The sequence below is a fragment of the Homo sapiens genome, chromosome 11, assembly GCF_000001405.40.
Source record: "Homo sapiens chromosome 11, GRCh38.p14 Primary Assembly".
Taxonomy (NCBI): Eukaryota; Metazoa; Chordata; class Mammalia; order Primates; family Hominidae; genus Homo; species Homo sapiens.
In genome coordinates, this window is record NC_000011.10 from 32697736 (window position 1) to 32725504 (window position 27769).

Below are 27769 nucleotides of genomic sequence, written 5' to 3' on the forward strand. Positions count from 1 at the left end.
GTCTATCTTTATTATTTTAATCAAAAGTAGCTCCCCTTTCTTTTTTCATGACACTGAAGTTTTTTTTGTTTTGGTTTTAACTTTTAGGTTCAGGGGTACATATGCAGGTCTGTTATATAGGTAAATTGCGTGTCACGGGGGTTGGTTGTACAGATGATTTCATCACCCAGGTAATAAGCACAGAACCCAATAGGTCCTTTTTTGATCCTCACCTTCCTCCCATCCTCCACGCTCAAGTAGGCCCCAGTGTCTGTTGTTTCTTTGTCTAACACTGAATTTTTTTTTTTTTTTTTTTTTTTTTTTTTTTGAGACGGAGTCTCACTCTGTCGCCCAGGCTGGAGTGCAGTGGTGATATCTCAGCTCACTGCAAGCTGCGCCTCCCGGGTTCACGCCATTCTCCTGCCTCAGCCTCCCGAGTAGCTGGGACTACAGGCGCCCGCCACCACGCCCAGCTAATTTTTTGTATTTTTAGTAGAGACGGGGTTTCACCGTGTTAGCCAGGATGGTCTCGATCTCCTGACCTCGTGATCCACCCGCCTCGGCCTCCCAAAGTGCTAGGATTACAGGCATGAGCCACCACGCCCAGCCAACACTGAAGTTTTTTTGAGTCCAGCCTAGATGTCTTATAGAATGTGCCACACATTGTGATTGTGTCTAATTGTTTTTATCATAATTAGATTTCAAATATTTTTGGCAAGAAAATTACATAGGTGAAGTTCGGTCCTCCTTATTGCATAATAACAGTGGATCCATGGAAAAGCTGTTTCATTATTAACATTGCTAGACTCGATCACTTGATTGAAGTGGTGACCTTCAGGATCCTTCTAATGTAAAAATATATTTTGCTCTTTGTAATTAATGTTATCTGTTTGAAATGGCATGAATATCGTCTTCCCAACAATCATTATTTCACTAGTTACTTCATTTTACTTTTTGTCTTCCCCACTAGACTAAGCTTCACAAGGGCAGAGATTTTTGTCTTGTTTATCATTGCTGTATCCTCAATGCTGAGAAAAGTGTTTGCACATAGTAGACCCTCAATATATATTGAATGAATCATCATTAGTTAAATACTTCTGTATTCTCTAAGAGACTACGAACAACTTAAGGGCAAAGGTAATGTTTTCTTAGTTTTTGTATTTGCAGAAAATAAGCACAGTACTTAGCACATAGCAAAAATTCAATGCTATTTTAATTTTTAAGGACCATGGGTAAATCAGTCACAATATATATGCCTTACTCATTTTCCTTATGTGTAAAATGTTAAAAATGTATCTATTTAACTATATTAATAAGATATACTAAAAATTATTTTAATATTTCTTTTTAAAATAAAATATGGTAAAGCAAAACTAAATTTAAAACAAGGCTCTCAGGAAAAAGTATTAAATTATGTAATATATTAGATATAAACTTTTGTCAGCTTTGCTTTGTAGCTTACATATCTAAAGGCATTTTACTGATATAATGCTAAAATACCAAACTACTTTTTAAACAATACGTAGTTATTTTTACCTGTAGTGCTTTTAATGTTTCCTTCAATCCTTCTATTTCTTTTTCCTTTATTTCTGTAGCAAGTTGATATTTTCCCTTTAAGTAAAAAACTGTATTTCAATACTTTCCAATGTAAATAATAATACAAAGGGTAAAATATAAGAGCTCAAGAACCCTTTAAGTAAAAAACTGTATTTCAATACTTTCTAATGTAAATAATAATACAAAGGGTAAAATATAAGAGCTCAAGAACCAAAATCTCAATGATAGACTGGATTAAGAAAATGTGGCACATATACACCATGGAATACTATGCAGCCATAAAAAAAGGATGAGTTCATGTCCTTTGTAGGGACATGGATGAAGCTGGAAACCATCATTCTCAGCAAACTATCACAAGGACAAAAAACCAAACACCACATGTTCTTACTCATAGGTGGGAACTGAACAATGAGACCACTTGGACACAGAAGGGGAACATCACACACCGGGGCCTGTTGTGGGGTGGGGGGAGCGGAGAGGGTTAGCATTAGGAGATATACCTAATGTTAATGACGAGTTAATGGGTGCAGCACACCAACATGGCACATGTATATATATGTAACAAACCTGCACGTTGTGCACATGTACCCTAGAACTTAGATTAAAAAATATATATATATATATATATATAAAAAGAACCAAAATCTCTACTTTAAACCAAATATTTCACAGGCTTTAACCTTCCATCTGTACTACAAATTACATTTCTAAAGATTTCAAAATATAAAATTATAATAAGGCCTTTATATGGTTACAATTATCATGAAATAGAATGTCTTATTATAATGACAAATCATTTTATCAGTAGAGCATCCTACCTGAGAACTTGCAGACACTTTATAATTATTTAATTCATACAACTAGAATAAATATATTCTAATTAATAAGATACAGGTGGTATTTATCTAATGAATATAAAAATATGGGAGAATTTTTTACAGAAGACCTTTGGCTAAAAATAAACCATAAGTGATTATTATTAATGGTATGTTCATTGATATAATAAAAAATGTATTAACTATTAAATAGCTAGAGAAAATATTTAGCGTCAGATAAATTTCTAGGTTTGTTGGAGCTTTATCCCCTTTGCCAGTTGGTCTGCACCCAGTTGCAAGTCATTTCCATATTTTTTAAAGACAGTAGTTCCATTGAAAAAGCACTAAAAACATCATGGTTAATAGAAACACTGCAGTGGAATGGGAAGAACATTAATTTGGGGCCTGAAGAGATCTGGGTTCTAGTCCCAATTTTGCCACTTCAAAGTGAGACCTTTGGCAAGTCATTTAATCTTGTTAGGCCTCTATATTCTGAACTGTAAATGATGGAAGTGAAGTAACATGATTATCTTGGGTCCTTTCTAAGATTTTAAGCAGTTAACCATCTCTATTAGTTTGTTACTAATGCTCTTTTCTCTTATGGTAAACAATGGATAATAAAAGGCATCTAGCTATGTTTTAAATTATTTTGTAAAAGTAAATACTTTTTAATAGACAGAAAATTTTAAAAAAATTATAAATACCTTTTCTTCTTCCAGGGCACACATCTTCATCTGCAACTGATAAACAATTTTAAAAATTAAAATAAAGGGATCACTGTTAACAGTGATCTATACTGGTCACTGAGACTAAAGAAACACTTTACACATCTATATTGTTTGAAATGGAAATAATGTGAATATGTTATTTTCAGATTCAGAAAATAAATAATAATGATATAAAACGAGAAAAAAGCCAGTCACTAAAGTAAATGAACTATTTATTTATTTATTTGAGATGAGGTCTTGCTATGTTGCCCAGGCTATACTCCAACTCCAGGGCTCAAGGGATCTTCCCACCTCGGTCTCCCAAGTAGCTGAGACTAGAGCACACACCACCACACCCAGTTCAAAATTAGCAATTTAATCACACTGATTAGAGATACCAATTATCTTTGAAAGTTTTGTTTTTTTCCTCCAGAAATTTTTCTTAAATATCTGAATATTTTGCCATCCACTCCTAAATCACAGCTTATATCATTTTCCAAAGGTACAATTTCGTAAATCAGAATCATTTGTATTATCATTGACAGTATTTATGTTCAAGAATTTTTTTAACTCATGTGCAGCCTAACAAATTATGACCTGTTTAAAAAAATAATGACATTTTAAAGGCCAGGCATGGTAGTTCATGCCTGTAATCCCAATACTTTGGGAAGCTGAGGCAAGAGAATTGCTTGAGCCCAAGAGTTTGAGACCAGCCTGGGCAATGTAGTAAGACTTCCTTGACAAAAAACTTTTAAAAAAAAATTTTTTTAAGCACCTGTAGTCCCAGCTACTTGGGAGGCGGGAGGATCGTTTGAGCCCTGGAGTTGGAGATTGCAGTGAGCTGAGATCACGCTACTGCACTCCAGCCTGGGCTACAGGGCAAGACTATCTCTAAATAAATAAATAAATAAAAATAATGACATTTTAAAACAGAAAAACTAAAGTACACACACCAAAGGAAAATTATGAAATATTCTAAGGAACACAAGGGTATTAGGCAAAATTTTCAAGAAATGAAATTTTTCTTTGGAACTTCCCTATTTCCTTTTTCACACTCCTCACATTCAAGATCCCCTTCTTTTAAAAAGCACACACACACACAAAGAAAAAAACAAAGAACCCAAGAGCACTTTCTCCTCTACCCTTCAGATATCTGAGTATCCTTATCTTGCCCAAAGTCCTTTGTGACAGCAGAGATGTGGACTTGCTCTTTCCTAGAGAATACTATGCTACACTTTTGGCTTTTGCTTCCTTAACCTTCAGTTAAAACTCCCATAACCTTGGTTAGGCCTATCTCAGATTAAAGGAAGAAAGTCTGTCATTTGCTTAAAAAAATTAACACATCTACACACACTTGTATTATAAAGATGAAGATAAAAATAGGAAAGGAAAAAGGAAGAAAAAATAATGATGTGAGATAGAGATAAGGAAACTTTCAGAGGATATTTTACATGAGCACATTTTCTCAAACTGTTATAATATTCTCTTGGTAGGAACTGAAGAGAAATTTTAGTCAAGAAAAGCTACAGAATTGAAATGAGCTGAAGGTATGTACAAGGATTCATTTGATTTTTTTTCTCATTTTTGTACTACTATTTCTTAGTTACTGATGATTGATATTTATGGAGGCTACAGTGCATAATAATCATCTCTTCTAATCCTTGTCATCTCCCTACTTGCATCTCAGATTTTGATCATAACATTATAACTCTACTTGGGTAAAGCGGTACTATGGAAGAGGCAAGAGCCTAGGAAGTTCTAATAAAAGAAAGGAAAGGGGAGAGAAAGAACAATAACACACACATCCCATTCACCTAAATTATTCAGGACAGATGAAAATATATTTCCATCTCCAAGAAAATAGTTTTCCCAATTTCCCTCAACAAATTTATGCTACTACTTTACATTCTATTGTCAGTTGTGATTAAAAATGATTTTATTCATTTCCTACTTCCCATAATACCTTGTTCTCCTTTTTGTCTTTGGTGACTATGGAGAACAGCTTGCCATAATATTCATAGGAGGGGGAGGAAATGCAATATTTAAAATGGTAGTGTTTGTCTATCCTTATGAAATTACCTGCTTTTTAAAAACTGCCATTGCTTCCTTGTGTTGCTCTGCCAATGTTTCCTTTTGATTCTGAAGAGTTTCCTGTTTTAAAAATTATGACAAGTTAAAACACAAATTCTAGCAACTCTCTTTCAGCTTTAAATCTTAACTAGGTTCACAATTTAAAGTCAACCATACCTTCTACATATATTATTTTGTGTTCCTGGAATGCAACTTTAAACCAATTTTATGATTATTTTTTGAGACAGGGTCTCACTCTGTTGCCCAGGCTGGAATGCAGTGGCACAATCACAGCACACTGCAGCCTCAACCTTCCCGGGCTCAGGTGATTCTCCTGCCTCAGCCTCTCCAGTAGCTGGGATTACAGATGTCTGCCACCATGCCCAGCTAATTTTTGCACTTTTTGTAAAGACAGGGTTTTGCCATGTTGCCCAGGCTAGTCTCAAACTCCTGGACTCAAGCGACCCACCACTTCGGCCTCCCAAAATGCTAGGATTACAGGCATGAGCCACTGTACCCAGCCCAATTTTATAATTTTTTAATTGTCATAGAATCATCATATAAAAATTTTTGCTTCCTGTTGCTTTTTTCATGAAAAAAAAAAACATTGCTTCTAAAACTTTTAAACTTTGGATATTATTTGCTCCAAATCTTTCTTCAAGAAAAATATCTTTTAACCAAAAGTAATTAAAATTAACAAATTAACAGTCCTAGTATACAAGCAGACTGTTAGAGTTTCAAAAACAATGACAACAACAACAACAACAAAAACCAGTTTTATCATCTAAGCAGAAATGCTTACCTGGCAACATATACACCTTTAAGTTCCCTGGAATAATTTTTCACAAACCAAAACTACCACAAGAGAATTTCTGGAAAAAAATCTACATATGATTCCATTTCTTTTTTTCTCCTTCTCCCACCTTTTTGGTGGAAGTTGCACGTTCTGTTCTTTCTATTCTAGATGACTTTAACATTCTTCTTCTATTTTTATCAAAGTTAATAATTCTCATCATTTAAAAATTAAGTCTAAAAGTGGCAACCACTTTCAAATTTTTCTGTTGTTTGCTCCAGATTTCTAAATAATACATTGAGTTAGCAATTTTAAAAGTTTATCTTGTGACCTGTTATTGATGAGAACAGTGGCCCATCTGGTGCCACCACTGTGAGGATGCCAGCTGCAGCAAGGGAGGTTGCGGCCAAGGCTACGGCTCTGCAAAGTCAGTGGGGGCTGGGAACAGGTGATCCCAGCAGGAGCCCTGTGCCCTACTAAGTTGGCGGGGCAGGAGCCCGTGCTCCCAGGTGCAGCTACAGCTGCCCAGCCACAGCTCTAAACCCAGGTATCCCTGCACTCTGCATTCTCTGTGTGGTGGCGGGCAGGTAGGGGAAGCCCCCTTGAAGCTGAAGCTTAAAGTACCTGTTTCCACTCCCTGACCTCTCCCTGCTCTCCATGTCTGCTCCACTGTGGAGCAAAGTTGTGGACATGTCCTGATAGCCAAGCCTGGGCAATGTCGCAACCAGGACAAGTATGCGCACACTCGGGGCAGCGCTGACATGCCAGACCCTGGCTGCCTTGGCCCCCTCTGGAAGCTGCTTCTGAAGGTGAAACTTAGGGCACCAATGAGCACAGGAGGGAGGCCAGAGGGCTGAGGGTGGCTCAGCGCGGGCCCACAGGTGCCCCTTGGGATGGACAGCCTGGGCACTACAGACAGCATGTTGATGGTGACAGGAGGTGCTCCTGGCAGGAAGGGATGTCCCTAGTGAAAACCCACCTTCAAGCCAGGGATAGCCTGAAGCCTGGGGACCAGGGCTGTCAGTTTTGGATGAAGTGGTGGCAGAGGAGTGAGAACTTCCTTGATCCCTTTGGCCAATCAAGTGGTATTTTCTGGGCCCACCCATGGGCCAATAAACACACACTTCCTCCACTCTGAGGCAATAAAAACCCTGGACTCAGCCAGACTCAGACACTCATCTGCACTACCTGCCTGCAGAAAGGAGCTGCCCACTTCAGGTCTCCTCTCCACTGAGAGCTGTTTGGTCACCCAGTGAAGCTCTTCTCTGCCTTGCTAACCCTCCAGTTGTCAGTGTAACCTCATTCTTCCTGGACATGGGACAAGAACTCAGAACCCACCAGATGGCAGGAGCAAAAGAAGCTGTAACACTTTCCTGGTGGGCTTGCCAAGCTGCAGGTGGGAGCTAAAGGGGCTGTAACGCTATAGCTCTCCCAGCCTCTGCCAGTGCTGGGTGGCCGCACCATTCAACGGGAAACAGCAGTGGGGCTAGGCCAGCCCAGGAGCCGCGGGCTGAAGCAGGGCAGCAGGACTGAAATAGCTGTAACACAAACAGGCTAAAATACACCACACTGCTTGCCACACTGCAGGTGACTAGAGGAAGAGAAGAGCTGGAGCCCTTCTGCAAGCCCAGACCTCAGGGCTCCCCAAGTGAGAGCTGTGAGTAGTGGTAACACCCTCTTTTGGGCTCTGTGGTTCCTAGCATCTCCAAGCTTCTGGGCACCACCACATTCCCCTCATCCAGACACTGGTGCCTGCAGTGGAAGCCACTTGCAGTACGTCTGCTCCAGTCACAGCCTCACACAGAGCTGGCTGCCCTGCCGCAGCAGCCAGCATGCTTGGCTGTGTGCAGCAGCCGGACCCCACGCTCACTCGCTCACACACCCCTCGTCACTGTGTGCCTGGCTTGCTCTTGGCAGGCATGGGATCTGGGCCAGTATCGCAAGCCGAGTGCAGCCCGCCAGGTCAAGTGAATGGAACAAGTCCAGCGGGTGCGAGCAAAACTCAAGCAGAGGCACTGCCAGCCACAGAGCTTTCTGGCTTGTGAAGTGACACCCAAACGATCCTGTGACACTATTATGATAGTTGGAAGTTTAACTTTCTCATACAGCTATTATCCCACAGCTCCTCCTCTATTCTTCCAACAGAGTTATATCAAAATTGGCTTAAATTGATAGTCAGCATTTACACTGTTATGACTATGTAATTATTATGCAATATTGAGCCACATGGTATGCCATGATTACATTTTTATTCTCATACAACTTTGTTTTTCTGCAGTTAGTAATCAAAAATATTTTAATTCCCATAGCTAATTTTAAAAAATAATACTGTCTGTACCCAGATCTATATCAGCTGAAAAAAAAAAAAAAGAATGAAAAAGGCAAAGTGAGAACATCACAAGAATGACTTAGGAAGTCTCAAACCATTTAGGAAACCAGGCAGATTTAGAAAAACTGTAGATGTTTGACTAAATCTTTCAGGGGCTATCCCCAAAGTTCTTCCTGTGAAAATAAAGGTGACTCTAACCACACCTGCAAGGAAGGAAGGAAAGAATGAGTCCACTGGAGACTTCAGGGATAGGTTCCTTGAGGAGTAGATTCTGAAGCTGTTGACTTCCAGCTCTTTCCTCAATTTTTGTGAATAGCCTTAAATACAGAACCAGGGAATTTAATATGTAACAAATTTGTAATGGGAAATAGCTCTACTACTAGATCTCCAAATCTACATCTTCAAAAAAAAGGCTTAGAACACAAATAAAATAAACTAATGGCTTCACAAATAAAATAACTAAATGTTCCCACTGCGGTCATCAAGCACTAGAGGAGAGTGCCTCTTGGTAAAGACACGTATAAGTACTTATACGCAGAAAGTACATTAGAAAAATAATTGTCATGGTCTAGCTAAGAAAATAAAGGAAAATAATCAGTGGGCAAATCAATGACACTGCTATGGGGAGAAATCGTGTATTCAACTTCTCATTTTATTCTCAAACTTGCAAAGAGAAATTTCTCTAAATATTAAAAGTAACCTCTCTCTTGAAGCCAATGAGCTACACAGATAGGGGTATCTCAAATAATCCACAGATATTCTCCCTGTTTCAGCCTGTTAACTGCCAACCTCGGTTCCCCAAATGAGAAATATTATTTTCCTTTACAACATCATGCCCATCAAATTAAAAGATAGGGATCTATTATGTAAACAGAATTGCAAAATTAAGTTCTCTCCTGTTTTTTATTTTCCTTTTCTTTTCCCTCAGATCCCTGATGACTTTCCTGTTCATAATCAGATCGTAGCTAATTTAGATGTTGACTTACTGGTAACTTTATGTATGATCAAACCAAATTGAAGATCTCCATGAAGTAGCACTTTGTGGGAAAAAAGTTTTACTGATATTGGCAGTAAGGTTCAGATCCACCCATCTAAACCTCTACCTAAGTTTACAAAATACCTCTAAAACCAGATGCTAAAGAAGAACTAAAGCCAATAGTCCAAAGGCCTAATAGAGAAAAGATGAGTCATACCTTATGAAGTATGACTGGTATAAAAATAGTCACAGTAAAAATGAGTCAGTCTTTAAACACTGTTGTTTCCCAGTCAAAAAACCCAGTGAATGAGGATAAAGATTTGTTCAAGACCTTAAGACCATAAATAAAATAAACATTTTACCCACTTCTTTGTATTACTGAGCCCAAGTACTATGTTATCTTCAGTGCTACTCGAAGTTACTTTTTTTTTTTTTTTAACCACTATAGATACGTGTTGTGCTTTCTATACTGTCCCTTTAGATCAAGATAGTCAACACCTATTTGTTTTTTCCTGGGAAAGTCAAAAATTTACCTGGATAGTGATGCGTCAGGGATTTACTGAGGAACCTCAAGGATATTAAATTTCCTTGTAACACTACACTTGCATAATATGGGGACAAGTTTTTTCGACGTTCTAAAGATGTGGAGAGTTGTAAGACTGATTCCATTTATCAACTTACTCTTTTAGCAAGGTCGTGAAAATTCCAAAAAAAGTTTAGAAGTTTGTCAGAACAAAGCACATTATTTACGGTATGATTAATCTCAAGGGGGTAAATGTATCACTCCTGATGAATTATAAACGATTCAATACTTTCCAAGGCTGGTTACTAAGAGACAATTAAGAATTTTTCTGGGTTTCACTGGCTGCTTCAGACAACAGGTTCCAAACATTTCTGAAATCACCCCCACCTCTATATAACTTACGTGCTCAATAATGGAACATCTCCCTCAGGAACTTAAATTTTGTGGCTTAAAAATAACTTTGGGTTCTTGTCATGAAGTCATTGCCTAAGCCAATGTCTAGAAGGGTTTTTCCAGAATTTTTATGGTTATTCTAGAATTTGTATGGCTTCAGGTCTTAGATTTAAGCCTTTGATCCATCTTGATTTGATTTTTGTTAAGGTGAGAGATGAGGTTCTAGCTTCATTCTTTTACATGTGGCTTGCCAATTATCCCAGCACCACTTGTTGAAAAGGATGTCCTTTCTTCACTTTATGTTTTCATTTGCTTTGTCAGAGATCAGTTGGCTGTAAGTATTTGGGTTTATTTCTGGGTTCTCTATTCTGTTCCATTGATCTATGTGCCTATTTTTATACCAGTATCATGCTGTTTTGGTGACTATGGCCTTGTAGAATAGTTTGAAGTCAGGTAATGTGATGTCTCCAGATTTGTTCTTTTTGCTTAGTCTTGCTTTGGCTATGCAGGCTCTTTTTTGGTTCCATATGAGTTTTAAAATTAGTTTTTCTAGTTCTGTGAAGAATAATGCTGGTATTTTTATGGAAATTGCATTGAATTTGTGGATGCTTTTGGCAATATGGTCATTTTCACAATATTGATTCTAGTTATCCATGAGCATGGGATGTGTTTCCATTTGTTTATGTCATCTGTGATTTCTTTCAGTGGTGTTTTGTAGTTTTCCTTGTAGAGGTCTTCCATCTCCTTGGTTAGGTATATTCCTATGTTTTTTTGGTTGTTGTTTGTTTTGCAGCTATTGTAAAAGGGGTTGAGTTTTTAATTTGATTCTCAGCTTGATTGCTATTGGTGTAAAGCAGAGCTACTGATTTGTGTACATTAATTTTGTATCCTGAAACCTTGTTGAATTGATTTGCCAGTTCTAGGAGCTTTTTGGATGAGTCTTTAGGGTTTTCTAGATATATGATCATACTATCCACAAACAGCGACAGTTTGACTTTCTCTTTACCAATTTGTATGCCCTTTCTTTCTTTTGTCTGATTGCTCTGGCTAGGACTTCTAGTACTATGTTGAATAGAAGTGGTGAAAGTGGGCATCCTTGTCTTGTTCCAGTTCTCAGAGGGAATGTTTTCAACTTCTCCCCGTATAATGTTGGCTGTGGGTTTGTCATAGATGGCTTTTATTACCTTAAGGTATGTCCCTTCTATGATGATTTTGCTGAGGGTTTTAATCATAAAGGGATGCTGGATTTTGCCAAATACTTTTTCTGTGTCTACTGAGATGATCACGTGATTTTTCTTTTAAATTCTGTTTACATGATATATGACATTTATTGACTTACGTCTGTTAAACCATCTCTGCATTCCTTGTATGAAACCTACTTGATCATGGTGGATTATCTTTTTGATATGCTGTTGGATTTGTTTTTTTTGTTTGTTTTTGAGATGGAATCTTACTCTGTTGCCCAGGCTAGAGTGCAGTAATGTGATCTTGGCTCACTGCAACCTCCACCTCCCAGGTTCAAGCAATTCCTGTCTCAGCCTCCTGAGTAGCTGGGGCTGCAGGCGCCTGCCACCAAGCCTGGCTAATTGTTGTATTTTCAGTAGAGATGGGGTGTTGCCATGTTGTCCAGGCTTGTCTTGATCTCCTGACCTCAGGTGATCCACCACCTTAGCCTCTCAAGGTGCTGGGATTACAGGTGTGAGCCACCATGCACAGCCTGCTGTTGGATTTGGATCGCTAGTATTTTGTTGAGGATTTCTGCATCTATGTTCATCAGGGATATTGGTCTGTAGGTTGTTGTTATTATGTCCTTGCCTGGTTTTGGTATTAGGATGATACTGGCTTCACAGAATGATTAAGGGAGGATTCCCTCTTTCTCTTTTGAAATAGTGTCAGCAGGATTGGTACCAATACTTTGAATGTCTGACAGAATTCAGCTGTGAATCCGTCTGGTCCTAGACATTTTTTGTTGATAATTTTTTTATTACCACTTCAACCTCACTGCTTGTTATTGGTCTGTTCAGAGTTTCTATATCTTCCTGGTTTAATCTAGCAGGTTTGTATATTTCCAGGAATTTATCCGTCTCCTCTAAGTTTTCTAGTTTATGCACATAAAGGTGTTCATAGCAGCCTTGAATAATCTTTTGTATTTCTGTGGTATCAGTTGTAGCATCCCCTGTTTCATTTCTAGTTGAGCTTATTTGGATCGTCTCTCTTTTCTTGGTTAATCTCACTAATCAATTTTATTTATCTTTCCAAAGAATCAGTTTTTTGTTTATCTTTTGTATTGTTTTTCTTGTTTCAATTTCACTTAGTTCTGTTCTGATCTTTGTTATTTCTTTTCCTCTGCTGGGTTTGGATTGTTCTTGTTTCTCCAGTTCTGTGAGGTGTGACCTTAGATTGTCTGTATGTGCTCTTTCAGACTTTTTGATACAGGCATTTAATGCTATGAAATTTCCTCTTAGCACCACTTTTGCTGTATCCCAGAGGTTCTGATAGGTTGTGTCACTAACTTCATTCAGTTCAAAGAATTTTTAAATTTCCATCTTGATTTCATTGTTGACCCAATGATCATTCAGGAGCCGGCTATTTAATTTCCATGTACTTGTATGGTTTTGAGGGTTCCTTTTGGAGTTGATTTCCAATTTTATTCCACTGTGGTCTGAGAGAGTACTTAATATAATTTTGATTTTCTTAAACTTACTGAGACTTGTTTTGTGGCCTATCATATGGTCTTTCCTGGAGAATGTTCCATGTACTGATTAACAGAATGCATATTCTGCAGTTGTTGGGTAGAATGTTCTGTAAATATACGATAAGTCCATTTGTTCTAGGGTACAGTTTAAGTCCATTGTTTCTTTGTTGACCTTCTGTCTGGATGATCTGTCTAGCACTGTCAGTGGAGTATTAAAGTCCCCCACTATTATTGTGTTGCCATCTATCTCATGACCAAGAACCCAAAGCAAATGCAACAAAAATGAAGATGAATAGATGGGACTTAATTAAACTAAAAAGATTCTGCACAGCAAAAGAAATAATCAGCAGAGTTAACAGACAACCCACAGAGTGGGAGAAAATCTTCACAATCTATACATCTGACAAAGAACAATATCCAGAGTCTTAAAAAAAAGATATACAAATGGCCAACAAGCATATGGGAAAATGCTCAACATCAGTAATGATCAGGGAAATGCAAATCAAAACCACAATGTGATACCACCTTACTCCTGCAAGAATGGCCATAATCAAAAAATCAAAAAATAATAGATGTTGGTGTGGAGGTGGTAAAAGGGAACACTTTTACACTGCTTGTAGGAATGTAAACTAGTACAACCACAATGGAAAATAGTGTGGAGATTCCTTAAAAAACTAAAAGTAGATCTACCATTTGATCCAGCAACCCCACTACTAGGTTTCAACCCAGAGGAAAAGAAGTCATTATACCAAAAAAATACTTGTACATCCATGTTTATAGCAGCACAATTTGCAACTGCAAAAATATGGAACCAGTCCAAATGCCCATCAATCAACAAGTAGATAAAGAAAATATGGTATACACATACCACAGAATACTACTTAGCCATAAAAAGGAATGCAATAATGGCATTCACAGCAACCTGGATGAAATTGGAGACTTTATGCCAAATATCATATGTTCTCACTCACAAGAGGGAGCTAAGCTATGAGCACACAAAGGCCTAAGAATAATACATTGGACTTTGGGGAATCAGGCAAAAGGCTGGGAGAGGGGTGAGGGATAAAAGAATACACACTGGGTACAGTGTAGACTGTTCGGGTGATGGGTGCACCAAAATCTTGGAAATGACCACTAAAGAACTTATTCATGTAACTAAACACTACCTGCTCCCTAAAAACCTATTGAAAAAAACAAAAACAAAAACTTTAACAGCGCCCCTTTCTGGGTCTTCCGATTGTCATAAAGCTTTCTACCTATTTGTACCTCAGCAGTGTAGACAAGCCCTTAATGCTCTAACAGAACACCATGGGAGTCATCAGGGTCTAATTGTTTATTACAGTCTTCCCTTAGACCTAGTGGCAAAAGCCAGCTCCTTATCAAGGGCAGTATTAGCAGCTGTCAAACTAGTAGAGGCTTCTACTAATGTGGTTTAAGGATTTATTTAGACTTCATGATACCTCATGCTGCGCAATCCTTGTTATTTACTAAAAACACATTTCTCAGCAAGCAGGTTCACCTCCTATGAACTTTTATTACTTTCTCCCCCACACATTTCCACCCAGTGCTATAATACCTGAAAGTCTACTAACAGGAAGACAAATACCACATGATCTCACTTATATATGGGACCTAAAAAAGTCAAACTTATACAAGTTGAGAGTAGAATAGTGGTTACAAGAAGCTAGGGAGGTGGAGGCCTGGGGTGGAGGGAAGGGAGATGTTGATCAAGGGTACAAAGTTCCAGTTAGATGGAAAGAATAAGTTTGAGATCTACTGCACAGCATGTAGTAAGCATAGTTAATAATAATGTATATTTCAAAATTGGTAAAAGTAGATTTTAAATATTCTCACTATAAAAAAATAAGCATTGAAGTGATGGATATGTTAATTAGTTTGATATAACCATTCCACAACATATACATACACAGGTGTATCAAAACATCACATTGTAGCCCATATATACAATATTTATTTTTCAATTAAAATAAAGATCTAAATAAAAAATAAGAGGCATGAAAACTGAAAAAGAAAAACTCATTGCTTATTTCTCTTTAATTTTTAATTTGCACAAACTATACAATAATACTATTTGACAATTGCCCCCTAAAATTGCCAATAAGTCTGTCATATAATCTTACCTAAGCTTACATATATGTACATGTATATACTAATTTACTTTTTATGTTATTCATTATAAATATGTATATATACACTTCATTTTATATATAGCATATATAAATGCTTGAATAGAAACAGGTTAAAATGCTTTTATATCTTAATGAAAAAATATACTAATGTAGTAAAGAGATGGGGATTGAACAGAGCACCTACCAAACTTTCTTTCAAGAAATATTTTGATAATCAATAACTTCCTATATAAAGTATATCTCTTTGATCTCTATTTCTAATAAGTGTTACTCATAGACAAGTTTAACAAAAAGCCTGGTATTGTTTTTCCATTACCCAAAGAAAGGAAAATCCATGACGACTCAGTCTCTGTCTAAGCAATAACTGTGCTTCAGACAGATTTATTAGAAACTCCCCCCGGATTAAATTTACATGTAATCTTGTTTGTTGATAGGTCATTTTTTGAAAGTGAAATGGAAAAAATATCAGGCAGGATATATTGCAACAGTCTCAACTGACCCCTAAATCATGACTCCTTACCAGAGGTTAAACCAGCCCAGATGACAGAACTTATTCTATTCAGCAAAGCTTGCCAGTTGCCAAGACATTAGAGAGTTAACATTAATAGCAGCTATGCCTTTGGTGTTGTCCATGATTTTGGAATACTGTAAAAATAATTATGGTTTCCGATCTCAGTAGGAATCCCAATTTCAAGTAGTCAACCATTTTAAGTGTTCTAATGCTTCCTTAGGGGATGGTTATCATAAAGCCACACTGAAAGGGATAACGTTAAGGCTAGAGGAAATACCCTAGCTAATCTTTATGACATACAGTCCCGGCCCCCATGATATCCAAAAAGCCAAATCTTTGAAGAAGTTTAAAAAGCCTATTTTGGAATGCCTACAACTGGCTCCAGAGTCTGAAGAAAAAATGTGATAATAAATTACAAAAAGAAAATCTCTTTCAGGACACTTTCAGGACAGACACTTGGTGGCACCAGAGGACCTCAATGGAACTTTGTAAAAATTTTATAGGAAATTACCCCTCAGAGCAAGGACAAACTGAACATTATATTCAATCAGCATTGGTGGTGAAATTTTACTAAAATTGCTGAGGATGTCTCTGGTGTACAGCTGTCATTAGCACTGTCTTGGTAAAACTGTTATCCTTGTAAATCCAAGCCTTAGGGTCCCTATAAACACTTTCAAATGGATTTCCTAAAATTAACCCCTAGAACAGGTTCTGAGTATGTTCATCATTGCTTCCATCTTTTCAGGATGAACTAAAACTTCTTGCCAGAGAGCTACAGTTCTGTGAGTAGAAAAACAAATTACTTGATTTTGTGTTTCCAACCTGAGGATCTATCTCCAGGGACAGGGTTACTCATTTTACTGGGACTGTCATTACAGAACTTTGCAAAACCTTGTCATTTATTTAGAAATTCATTGCCCCCATCATCCTCAAACTTGAAGAAAAGTAGAGAGGACTAATGGCACACTGTATCTGACACTCTTAAACTTCCATGACCAAGAAGGTTACCTCTAACTCATAACACCATGAAGTCCATACTCCCCTATATTCATTGGCTTTTACCATATAAACTTGTTAAGAGTTTGCCCTATGAAGTTGGCTACTTCTCCCCTGATTTTGGACATTTCTTTACTTCAGACAAATGTGGCAAAACACTCCAAGGGACTAATGTAATCTGTTTCAGAGTCTTATCACAAACAGATAACAGTTGCTTTTCTTCTATATGACCAAAAGCTCAGAGGTAATGTCTTCTAGAAATGACCTCAGAAAGAAAAAACAAATATCCTGAAACCATGTTGGAAATAATCCTACCAAGAACTGCCAGCACAGTAGCTAACCCCTGGGGAATAGATCCTTGAATTCATGTCTCCCAGATGAACAGACACTAGGTTTCACTAATACATGGAATGCCATTCCATCAAGAAATTTAAATCTAAGGAGTCTTGAGAAAGCTTCAGAAGCAGACATATTCAGAAAGAAACAGCTACCATTCAAGAGGTATGGATCAAGACAGCCTCTACCCAAGACCTACAGAGTCTGTTTTTATATGGCCTGTGAGCCAGGAATGGTTTTTATATTTTTAATGGGTTAAAAAGAAAAATAAAAAAATAACATTTCAAATCACCTGAATATTGTATAAAATATAAATCTTAGTGTCCATAACATTTTATAGGAACATAGACACACTGATTCATGTAAGTACTGTCCATGGCTGCTTTTACACTATAACAAAGTTGAATGGTTGTGACAGAGACCATACTGTCCACAAAGTCTGAAATATTTACTACGTGGCTCTTTACAAAAAAAGCTTGCTAACACCCTACCTAGATAATCAGAGCTAAAGATTGCAATGCTTTTATTTGCAGGCTTTTGTTCTTTATTTTCTGAGGTACTTTCTTTCCCCTTTCTTAATCCAGCCCCTTAAGTGAGTAAAAACATATTATTTATTAACCATGATGGTTTCAAAGGTCCTTATCCTTAATATTGCTCCCTACATTCTTGGCCACTCTATGGTGTGAGTCCAATTACTAATGGAAATTTTTGATTTGGGGATGGCCTCTGTTCTCTTGGTTTAATATAGGTATTCCTAGCTGCTGGCTTTAAAGTGATCTACAAGTTCTGATAACAAACTTTTCTTTAGTGTTTTTCCACGTTGGTGTGTTCAGAAGTGTAACTTCTGGAATCTTAAGTACTGTTGCATAGCCACTGTCCTATAAAGTGATCCAACAAATTATGATCCAACAAAAGGAAAAACTGATACACACGCACACACACACACACACACACACCACCAGAAACCACCTACATGCCATCATGACTCTTCATCAAGCAGCATAAATCTTGATTGATCACATCCTAAATAATAATAGTTTATTTTATTTTCCAGCTCAGGTTGAAGAAGCAAAAGGGGACTGAGAACTAAAACCACCTGCATCAATATAACAGAGATATTCAGAGTAAGAACTGAGAATACCTGTGTCAACACAACTTAGTTTTTTGTTCCAGGAAACCTTTGCCCAGTAAATATAAGACTATAAAAACCAATAAATTATATCACTGTTTGTTTCAGGCAACTGCTGCAAAACAACTTATCTGAGACAATAGTTTATTTGGGTAAACATCTGGTTTATCAAACAACTATTTATTCTCAAGAGTAGCTTCAAGAGCTTCAATGTTGCCACATTCACAATCCTAAAATACTGCATTACAAAATTTGCCCAATCCCCATCAATATCCTCCCTTAAAAGATCTGCCTAAATCTGCTTGCACCTAGACCCTATAACCCTCTACATAGTCCAATACTGATTTGCACCTTTTGAAATACTAAGACTCTGTAAAAGTAGTGTTTTCACTTACTGCAATGAGTTTCAATAAACATACCTGCTTTATTAACAAGTTGTTTGGTGATATTTGAGGGAATGCAACCAGGCAGTTCTAATTTACACTGCTAACAACATATGAAAGTTCTTGTTTTTCTAAAAGTTGGTAAAGGTAGGAATCTGGCTTTTTCTTCAGATGGAATCCAGCTCTAATACCATTTCTTGAATAATCCATTATTCCCCACTGATTTAAAGGCCACCGTTAACATTCACTAAATTATCTTATGTATTTGGATCTATTTCTAGATTCTGTTGTGTTCTACTAAATAACTATGTATACTGCACCAAGCTATTTTAATTATGACAGCTTTATATTATGTTTAAGAATCAAGTATGACTATTTCATTCCCTTCTTTTTAAATTTCCCAGCCACTCTTGTATGTTTATTTCCACATAAACCTTAGAATAAGCTTAAGTACCAAAAATATGTTCTTGACATTTTAAATTGGATTTATTTATTTATTTTTAGAGACAGAGCCTCGCTCTGCACCCAGGCTGGAGTGCAATGGCGCAAACATAGCTCACTACAGCCTCAAATTCCTGGGCTCAAGTGATCCTCCCACCTCAGCCTCCCGAGGAGCTAGGACTACAGGCACACACCACCACGTCCTGCTAATATATGTATTTTTTAATAGAGACAAGGTCTCACTATGTTGCCCAGGCTGGTCTTGAACTCCTGGCTTCAAGTAACCCTCCTGCCTTGGCCTACCAAAGTGCTGGGATTACAGGCGTGAGCCACTGCAGTTGGTCATTAAATTGGGTTCATTAAACTTACCTTAGGGACTGTGATAACTTTATGCTGTTAGCTCTATGCAAAAACAAGATATAACTTTACATTTTAAAATCTGCTTGAAATTAGTTGTACTTAGTATTTACCTATTCTTTCCCTCCATATTCTTTCCCTCCACAGATAGGTCTGTTTCAGACTTGTCCTTCATATAATTCAACCCTGATTTTACTCCCACAATCTGCACAACCTTTGGATCTGTCTAGCCTTGAAATTCCAATTATTTCTAGTTTGGTCTATCCACTATCACCTGACTTCTGATTCTGATGTTACCCCCAATTCCTGTTTCAATATTACCAAACAATGAGAACAGAAATCAGCATAATTACACTTTCAGGTTTTAGTTGTTAAGATTACTCTGATGGAACAGCATGAGAAGCACTATCATAAATGCTTCAATACAGATAAAGCTATGGAGAAAATAAGAGCTGCTACTATTTTTTAATATTTGGTTACATTATGTAATAACACCCTGGAAAAATAAGGGACGAGTTATGAGGTTTCATTGTTTTCAAAATATTCTCACTCCCCTATAACACACAATGTGTTTCTCAGATGTAAAATAGTTTTCAGAGTTATTCACAGTGCCGTATCAAAAAGCCTGAACAAAATTCTTATTCTCAGTTTTCTGGAAGCCTAAATGTTACCAACAGTTTTAGTTGGGATTTTCTTGAGATTTTAAAATAATCCACTAACACCTGAATATGTTAGAAAATTTAAAAATTAACTTGGCAATAAGGATTAGAATACATTTTAAAATAGATGCTATAAATACTAATCTGAGAGAAAAAAAATACTCACTGTATTAGTTAGCTTTCATACTGCTACAAAGAACTGCCCAAGACTGGGTAATTTATAAAGGAAAGAGGTTTAATTGACTCACAGTTCAGCATGTCTGCGGAGGCCTCAGGAAACTTACAATCATGATGGAAGGCGAAGGGGAAGCAAGGCACCTTCTTTACAAGGTGACAGAAAGGAGAAGTGCTGAGCGAAGAGGGAAGAGCCCCTTATAAAACCATTAGATCTCATGAGAACTATCAGGAGAACAGCATGGGGAAACTGCCCAAATGATTCAATTACCTCCACCTTGTCTCTCCCTTGACACGTGGGGGTTACGGGGATTACAATTCAAGATGAGATTTGGCTGGGGACACAAAGCCTAATCATATTACTCACCTTTTGCCATTTAAGTTCCTGTGTCTCCACAATAATTTTACCAATCTGCTCTTCATAATGAATTTCTGCTTCCTAAGTCAAAAAGAAAAAGAAAAGTGCTATAAAAATAAAGACTTTAAAACTTCCAGTTTCAGCTCTTTCTGGAGAGATATAGAAATAGCATACTCCCACCTTTACAACAAGAAAAAAATCTAGACAAACTGCAAATTAAATAGACAAGTCCATCATAGAACTGAGGTCCCAGATCAATCAAGTGCCCAAAATCTGGATAGAGACAGGTGCCTAGAGAAACAGAACCCTGACATTTGCTTACCTGGGACATAAGCTACTGAGGACTGGTAAGAAGCTTCAACGAAAAGTCCTTAATAAATTGCTAAAGGTAGAATGTAGGCTACTGTAAAAATATGAATCTCCTGAAATAGGGAGGTTTGTACTTTCTAGCAGGCTTTTCTTCTAGGAAACCCACCAGGTGCTTACAGAAAAGGTTGAGAAAAATCCTATAAAAGTTTTCCCCTGCAGCACTGGCTATGTAGGGGAAGAGCAGTCCCAAACCATCTTCCCTATTTCCTCTACAGATCAAAACCCTTAATCTGCAGAGGGGAGGGCAACAGAAACTATAGCTAAAAGCACTAGTGGAAACCCTCTGCAGCTGGGCAAGGGGACCAAAAGTCATCACTAAAAATTCTACCTAGGCAGACCTATCTTCCTTATCTCCTCTAAGCAGCAGCTGGGAAGAGGAGGACTGGGAGAACAAGGCAACAACAGTTCTTTCATTGTGGGAGGGGCAGGAATACATGCTAGGCCCAGCATTACATATGAAGGAGGGACCAAACACTCATGAAGATCTCATCCTGAGACTCAGGTTCACCTAAGACTAAGGTTTAATGAGAATATCAGAGAACGCCCTTCTTCCCCTATCTTCCACCACCACCACCATGCCAATAAGCATCAAGTAAAAAGAACAAGGAGATACAGCAAGGAGAGCTGCAAAGACAGAGTTTCTCTGGGAAGCAGGACAAAGAAAAGACCCAAAGACAAGTGGGAAGGCCCAATGCCAAGCAGGAAGCAGTCATTTAGAAATACTCTCTGGTTTTGTTTGAAATAATGTAATACTCCTGAATTCGCCCACATCATAAACATAAGGTATCACTAGAGAAATCTGAAGCTTCTGCTGAATAACAGGCAGAGTTGAAAACTGCCTGGTTTAAGTATTGAAGGTGTGCCTCAACACACACACACAGAGCCCTTCTGCAAAATCTAGGAGATTTTTTGTTTCCTTTGATATTTAAAGAAATCTCTGCGATCACTAGCTGACCACTAATATAACAGCAAAGTCAGTAGCCACACACAACAAAGACAACAGACCTTACAAATTAGTTCAAAGGCAAATTAGTTCAAAGACACACTAAACAAAGACAAGAAGCAGGAACCCTAGAAAGTGAGAAGAGTCTGATTTCCAGAGCTGCCATATATCCAAAATGTTTCTAACAAAAAGTTACAAGGCATGCAAAGTAAAAGCAAAGTGTAGCCCATTATATGGGGGAAAAAAATTAATGGAAATTATACTTTAGGAAGCCCAGAAATTAGATGTACTACATAAAACTTTTAATCAAACTATTTTAAATATGGTCAAAGAGCTAAAAGAGACCACGTACAAAAACATAACTATTAAAAAGATAATAAGCAAATGCTACAAAAAAACTTTACACTCAGAAATTTGACAACTTAGAGAAATTGGCCAATGTCTCGAAAGCCACAAACTATCAAAACTCAACCAAGATAATACAGACAATCTAAATAGCCCTATAACTATAAAAGGAGTTGAGTTCTTAATAAAAAGCCTCCCAAAAAGAAATCTTCAGGCCCAGATGGTTTCACTGGAGAATACTACCAAATATTTAAAGAATTAACACCACTTTTACACAGTCTCTTCCAGAAAAACAGAAGAGGAGGAAACACATACTAACTGATTTTATCAGACCTATTTACCATAATACCAATACCAAAGACAGCACAAAGGGAATACTCTGACCAATACTTCTCACAAATTTTGATGCAAAAATCCTTAATAACATGTTAGCAAACAGAATCCAACAATATAATTTAAAAATTATATGAGTGGAATTTATTGCAGGTATGCAAAGCTGGTTCAACAGTTGAAAATCAATCAGTATAATTTATTACATCAATACGCTAATCATATGATCGCATCAACCAACACAGAAAAAACACTTAACAAAATTCAACATCCATTCTTGATAAAAACTCTTACCAAGTTAGGAATAAAAATATTATCCTTGCTTTTTGTAAAGAACACTTACAAAAACCGTACACTTAGCATCATATTTAATGGTGAAAGACTGAATGCTTTCCCTTTAAGATCAGAAACAATGTAGGGATGTCTATTCTCATCGCTCTTATTAAATATAATACTGAAAGTTTTAGCCACTATCAGGCATACACAAATAAATAAACAGATTGGAAAGGAAAAAATAAAACTACCTCTATTTGCAGATGATATGATTGTATGCATAGAAAATACTAAGGAACCTACAAAAAAAACTCCCAAAAATAGTAAGTGAATTTAAGAAGGTCACAGGATACAAGATTAACACACTAAAAACAATGTCACATTTCTATATTTTAACAATGAATATGCAGAAACCAAAATTTAAAATGCAACTTATAATCACATCAAATCAAGAGAGTAATTATCTCTTGGAGTGGGCATTAAAGATAGAATTTGCCTGGGAAGAGGCATGAGGGAGCTTTCTGGGTTGATGAAAATATTTTATATCTTGATAAGGTTTCAATTATACAGGTGTATTCACCTGTCAAAACTCACTGAATGTACAGCTAAGACGTGTACATTTCATTGTATATAAACTTTAATGTAAGGAAAAAAGCTGTAGAGAAATAATAAACTCTTTGTAATGATACTTATTTTATTTTTTATTTTTTGAGACACAGTCTCGCTCTGTCACCCAGATCCAGCCTGGAGTGCAGTGGTGCAATTTTGGCTCACTGCAACCTCCGCATCCCAGGTTCAAGCAATTCTCCTGCCTCAGCCTTTCAAGTAGCTGAGATTACAGGTACATGCCACCATGCCCAGCTAATTTTTATATTTTTAGTAGAAATGGGGTTTTACCATGTTGGCCAGGCTGGTCTCAAACTCCTGGCCTCAGGTGATCTGCCTGCCTCGGCCTCCCAAAGTGCTGCGATTACAGGAATGAGCCACTGCACTTGGCCCATGATATTCATTTTAAATATCAGGAGGAAGTATACTGATGTCTGCAATTTACTTTGAAATCAACAGAATAAAGTCAAAAGAGGGATAGATAGATATGTGATAAAGCAAAAATAGAAAAATATTAATGTTATATGAGTGTTCACTGTAAAATTCTTTCAGTTTTGCTGTATGTTTGACAATTTTCATAACAACATGTTGGAGAGAAACCAAAGAGTAGATATTAACATATAAAATATGTGCTTTTTAAATGAAATATTTTTCTATGACTCACTTTTTTTTTTTTTTTGAGACAGAGTCTTGCTCTGTCGCCCAGGCTGGAGTGCAGTGGTGCGATCTCAGTTCACTGCAAGCTCTGCCTCCTGGGTTCACACCATTCTCCTGCCTCAGCCTCCCGAGTAGCTGGGAGGGACTACAGGCACCCGCCACAGTGCCCGGCTAATTTTTTGTATTTTTAGTAGAGACGGGGTTTCACTGTGTTAGCCAGGATGGTCTCAATCTCCTGACCTCGTGATCTGCTCGCCTCGGCCTCCCAAAGTGCTGGGATTACAAGCATGAGCCACCGTGCCCAGCCTATGACTCACTTTTATGTCCTTTGCTTTATTATACATACATACACATATATACACTTATGCTATGTTACTCAAAGATAGACTTTCATGAAAGTTGTCTCATTTAGAACGTTTTTAGCCGCAAGTAACAACAACAAAATCCAGCTCACAATGGCTTATGGGAGTTAGCATCTCACATGAACAGGAGTCTAAAAGTAGAGTGCTTCTACAATTGATTATTTCAGTGGCCCACTCAACAATATCATCAATACTATGATTCTGCTCATCTTTCCATTTTGCCATTATCAGTGATTTTCATCATGCTTTCCACCCCTCATGGTTGCAAAATGGTTACTTTCATTTTAGGCATTAACGACAAGTCAGAGAACATCTTGCAGTAGAAAAAGTGTATTCTCTTAAAAAAAGGTTAACAAAAGCTTTTCCAGAAGCTTCCCAACACACATTCCCTAATAATTCATTGGCCATAACTGGGTCACATACCCTCTCCTAAGCCAGTCATTGGCAGGGGAAGTACATTGGATCTTTACAGGTGATTAAAGTGAGGACTTATCTGACTCACAGTCATGAGAGGTGGACCCTATGACACATTTAGGGTTTTTCCAACATGGAAGAAGGGAGGAAATCCATACCAACAGTATATACTACAAGATACATAAATGAGGAGAGATTACAATCTCTTACAGTAATACCTTTCTATTATTAAAACATATTGAAAAAGGAAATAAATGTACATATATACATTTGTTTTGGGAAGGAGTGTACATAAAACATGCATCTCTTCTCAAAGCAGTTGGACTGAAAATGTATAAGATACTGTTTTCATCATGTAGGTCTGGTTCTCTTTTAACCACTTCTCTTTCAGTGGTTAGAGTGGGTTCTGAGGCCTTACCATGATCTAGATATTGTTCTAAGTACTTTTTATTTATTGATTAATTGAATCCTGGACATAATATAATGAGGTAGGTTCTCTTACTATTGCCATTTTATACATAAGGAACCTGAGATAGCAAGAGGGTAAATAGCTTGGCTAAAGTCACACAGGAGGTAAATGGCAGAGCCAGTACTCAAACTCAGATCATCTGTCTCCAAAGTCTCTTAAATGTTGCATTACACTACCTTGAAGAGATTGTGGATGCTGCAGAACAGTATGGATTGTTATGATATATATTCCTTTCCTTCAAAAACTTCAGAAGTTAATCTTTATATCCCCTCAAATTTAGGAAACCATTCAAAATCATTTTACCTATGTAAAATATGCAAGCACAATCTGGTTATTTGGTAAAACATCTCAAAATAAAAACTAGAAATATTTGTTGAATGAAAAACAAAAGAATGTAAGAATTGCTATGAATTTTCTAATATTAATAGATAATTTTCTATATCAGAAATCTTTGTAATAGATTAAGCTGACCAATGTGAAAATCATGGTTCAAATACTATTAAGAAAGAGATTTGTGTAAATATAAACTTTTAGGCTAGCCCATGAATGTTAGAAATATTTCTCTTGAGTACTTTTCAGACCAAGAAACTATCTGGAAGAGTGATTAGTATTTTCTTAGACAACATGAGAAACTGAGTTGAGCAATTTCGTAGGAGGTGGATTATCAGTTTGAAAAGGAATGTACAAGTACCCAGTTACAATTTTGGCTGCTTGGACACGTGCCTGGCGTATGTACCTAAATCTGTTCAGGGTCAAGAATTGAAGAGGCCTGACCAATACATAGCCCATCTTGTAAAACTACTGCCTGAAGCAAACACTTTAAAAAAGGCATGACACTTTCTAAAGGTTATAAAGAGTAAATAAACCATCAAATTACTCCTCTTTTATTGTTTTTGTAAAAACACTTATATCCTTGTAGTCCTAAGGCATCTAATAAAAAATAAACACTTTTATTAAGATTCTGTATTCTAGGTACTTTATTGAAGTTAGAGACAACATTTTTTATTAAATTTAATATTTTTTCTCATTGACATTTAATAAGAATTTTTATAACTTTTAAAAGCTGCTTAAAGACAGATGGAAGAAAAAATTAAAGTTCTAATAAAAAGTTTAATAATTTATAATAGAAAGCATAAAGTTAATAAAATCCTACTCTAGTACAAATATATTCTAATGCTATTTTTCTGCAATGTGGCTAACACCCATTTTATCAGTTTTCCATGGGGTATAAAGATATACATTCTACAAATCATAATAATCAGAAAGGGGTATGATTCTATCCATACCATTTTTAATTTTATGGGGTATTGAAATGCTGCTTAATGTTATTTACCACATATTATACCATTAATTACCCAGTTTTCCCTCATACTTTTCTTATTTTAAACCACCCAAAACTCCACTGACTTTTATTTACTGCTAATTTAGAATTCAAAAATTTATTCTTTAGATAGTTAACAAATTTAATGTGCCCTTTCTGAACTACCCTAATACTTTGCTCATGATTCTATTATGATACATAATACATACTACGTGATAGTATAGTTATTAATTTGCATGGCATGTGATGCCCATTAAATTTTCAATTCTCTTAAGGCATAGATTGAGAAATGGTTTATAAAAGGTTATCGAATTAATGCATAATTTAAAAGCCTAAAAGATTTGTGGTAGAGATCTTTAATCCCCATTGTAGAGATGATTTGGCTCAGAAATATATTTTGTTTTAAAACTTTCAACTTACTTCCGATTTTTTAGAATTCAATAGATTTCATGTTGAAATCTGTATTTCTAGTTTTTCTTCAATAATTGAAAAAGATGGATAGCACAGAGCTTATTTTTCTACATGCCAATAATTACTTGGAGCTGAATGGCAGATGTAGGTTGAACTGAAGATATATGCTTTCCAGGTCAACATAATTCCTACCCTACTCACATCACATGCGAACTGCCTGAATTCTGAAGGAAGGTGTCTGTGACTTGTTACTCCTGTGCTATTACTGTGCATCCCCACTCCTTATCAGTAATTCTATCTATGTGTTAAGGACATGTATCAAAAACGATGTCTAACTTCTAAAATGCAGACATTGTGGATTCAATATAAACTATTTTGTTGATTCGGACTGTTAATTTGTAAATCATTATAAATTTTAAACATTCAATTTTTTTCAAATATTATCATTACCATTTTAGGCTCATACAGAAAAAAATGAATAATATCCCCTTACTTTTATTAATTACTATACAGTTAAGTAGTGAAATATAGTTTAGTGAAGTAAGAAGATGTCTTTTTTTTTTTAACTTTATAGTAATCCCCCCTTATCCATGGGTTCACTTTCTGAGGTTTCAGTTACCCGCAGTCAACCATTGTCCAAAAATAGGTTAATATAATACAATAAGATATTTTGGCAGAAAGTGAGACCATATTTCCATAATTTTTATTATAGTATATTGCTATAATTGTTCTATTTTTAGCTGTTGTTAACTTCTTATATACGTAATTTATAAACTAAACTTCATTACAGGTATGTACATGTCGGGAAAAACAGTACATATTGCACAGGGTTTGATACTATCTGAGGTTTCAGGCATCTGCTGCAGGTCCTGGAACTTATCCCCCACAAAATAAGGAGAGACTACTATATCTTGTTGTCCTACCTACTAGCTTATAAA

At 36.7% G+C, this 27769-nt stretch overlaps 1 protein-coding gene across 4 annotated transcripts in view; it reads right to left on the reverse strand.

Annotated features, from left to right (window-relative positions):
- Positions 1-27769, reverse strand: part of CCDC73 (coiled-coil domain containing 73) — a 227865-nt gene that overhangs the window by 95015 nt on the left and 105081 nt on the right. For all 4 annotated transcript variants that reach the window (XM_047427029.1, NM_001008391.4, XM_047427030.1 and 1 more), the window contains 4 exons: positions 20341-20412; positions 5138-5209; positions 3056-3091; positions 1516-1590 (listed from right to left, as the gene is read on the reverse strand). In XM_047427029.1, the coding sequence (XP_047282985.1) occupies positions 1516-1590; positions 3056-3091; positions 5138-5209; positions 20341-20412 (255 nt within the window). The remainder of the gene's footprint in view (positions 1-1515; positions 1591-3055; positions 3092-5137; positions 5210-20340; positions 20413-27769) is intronic.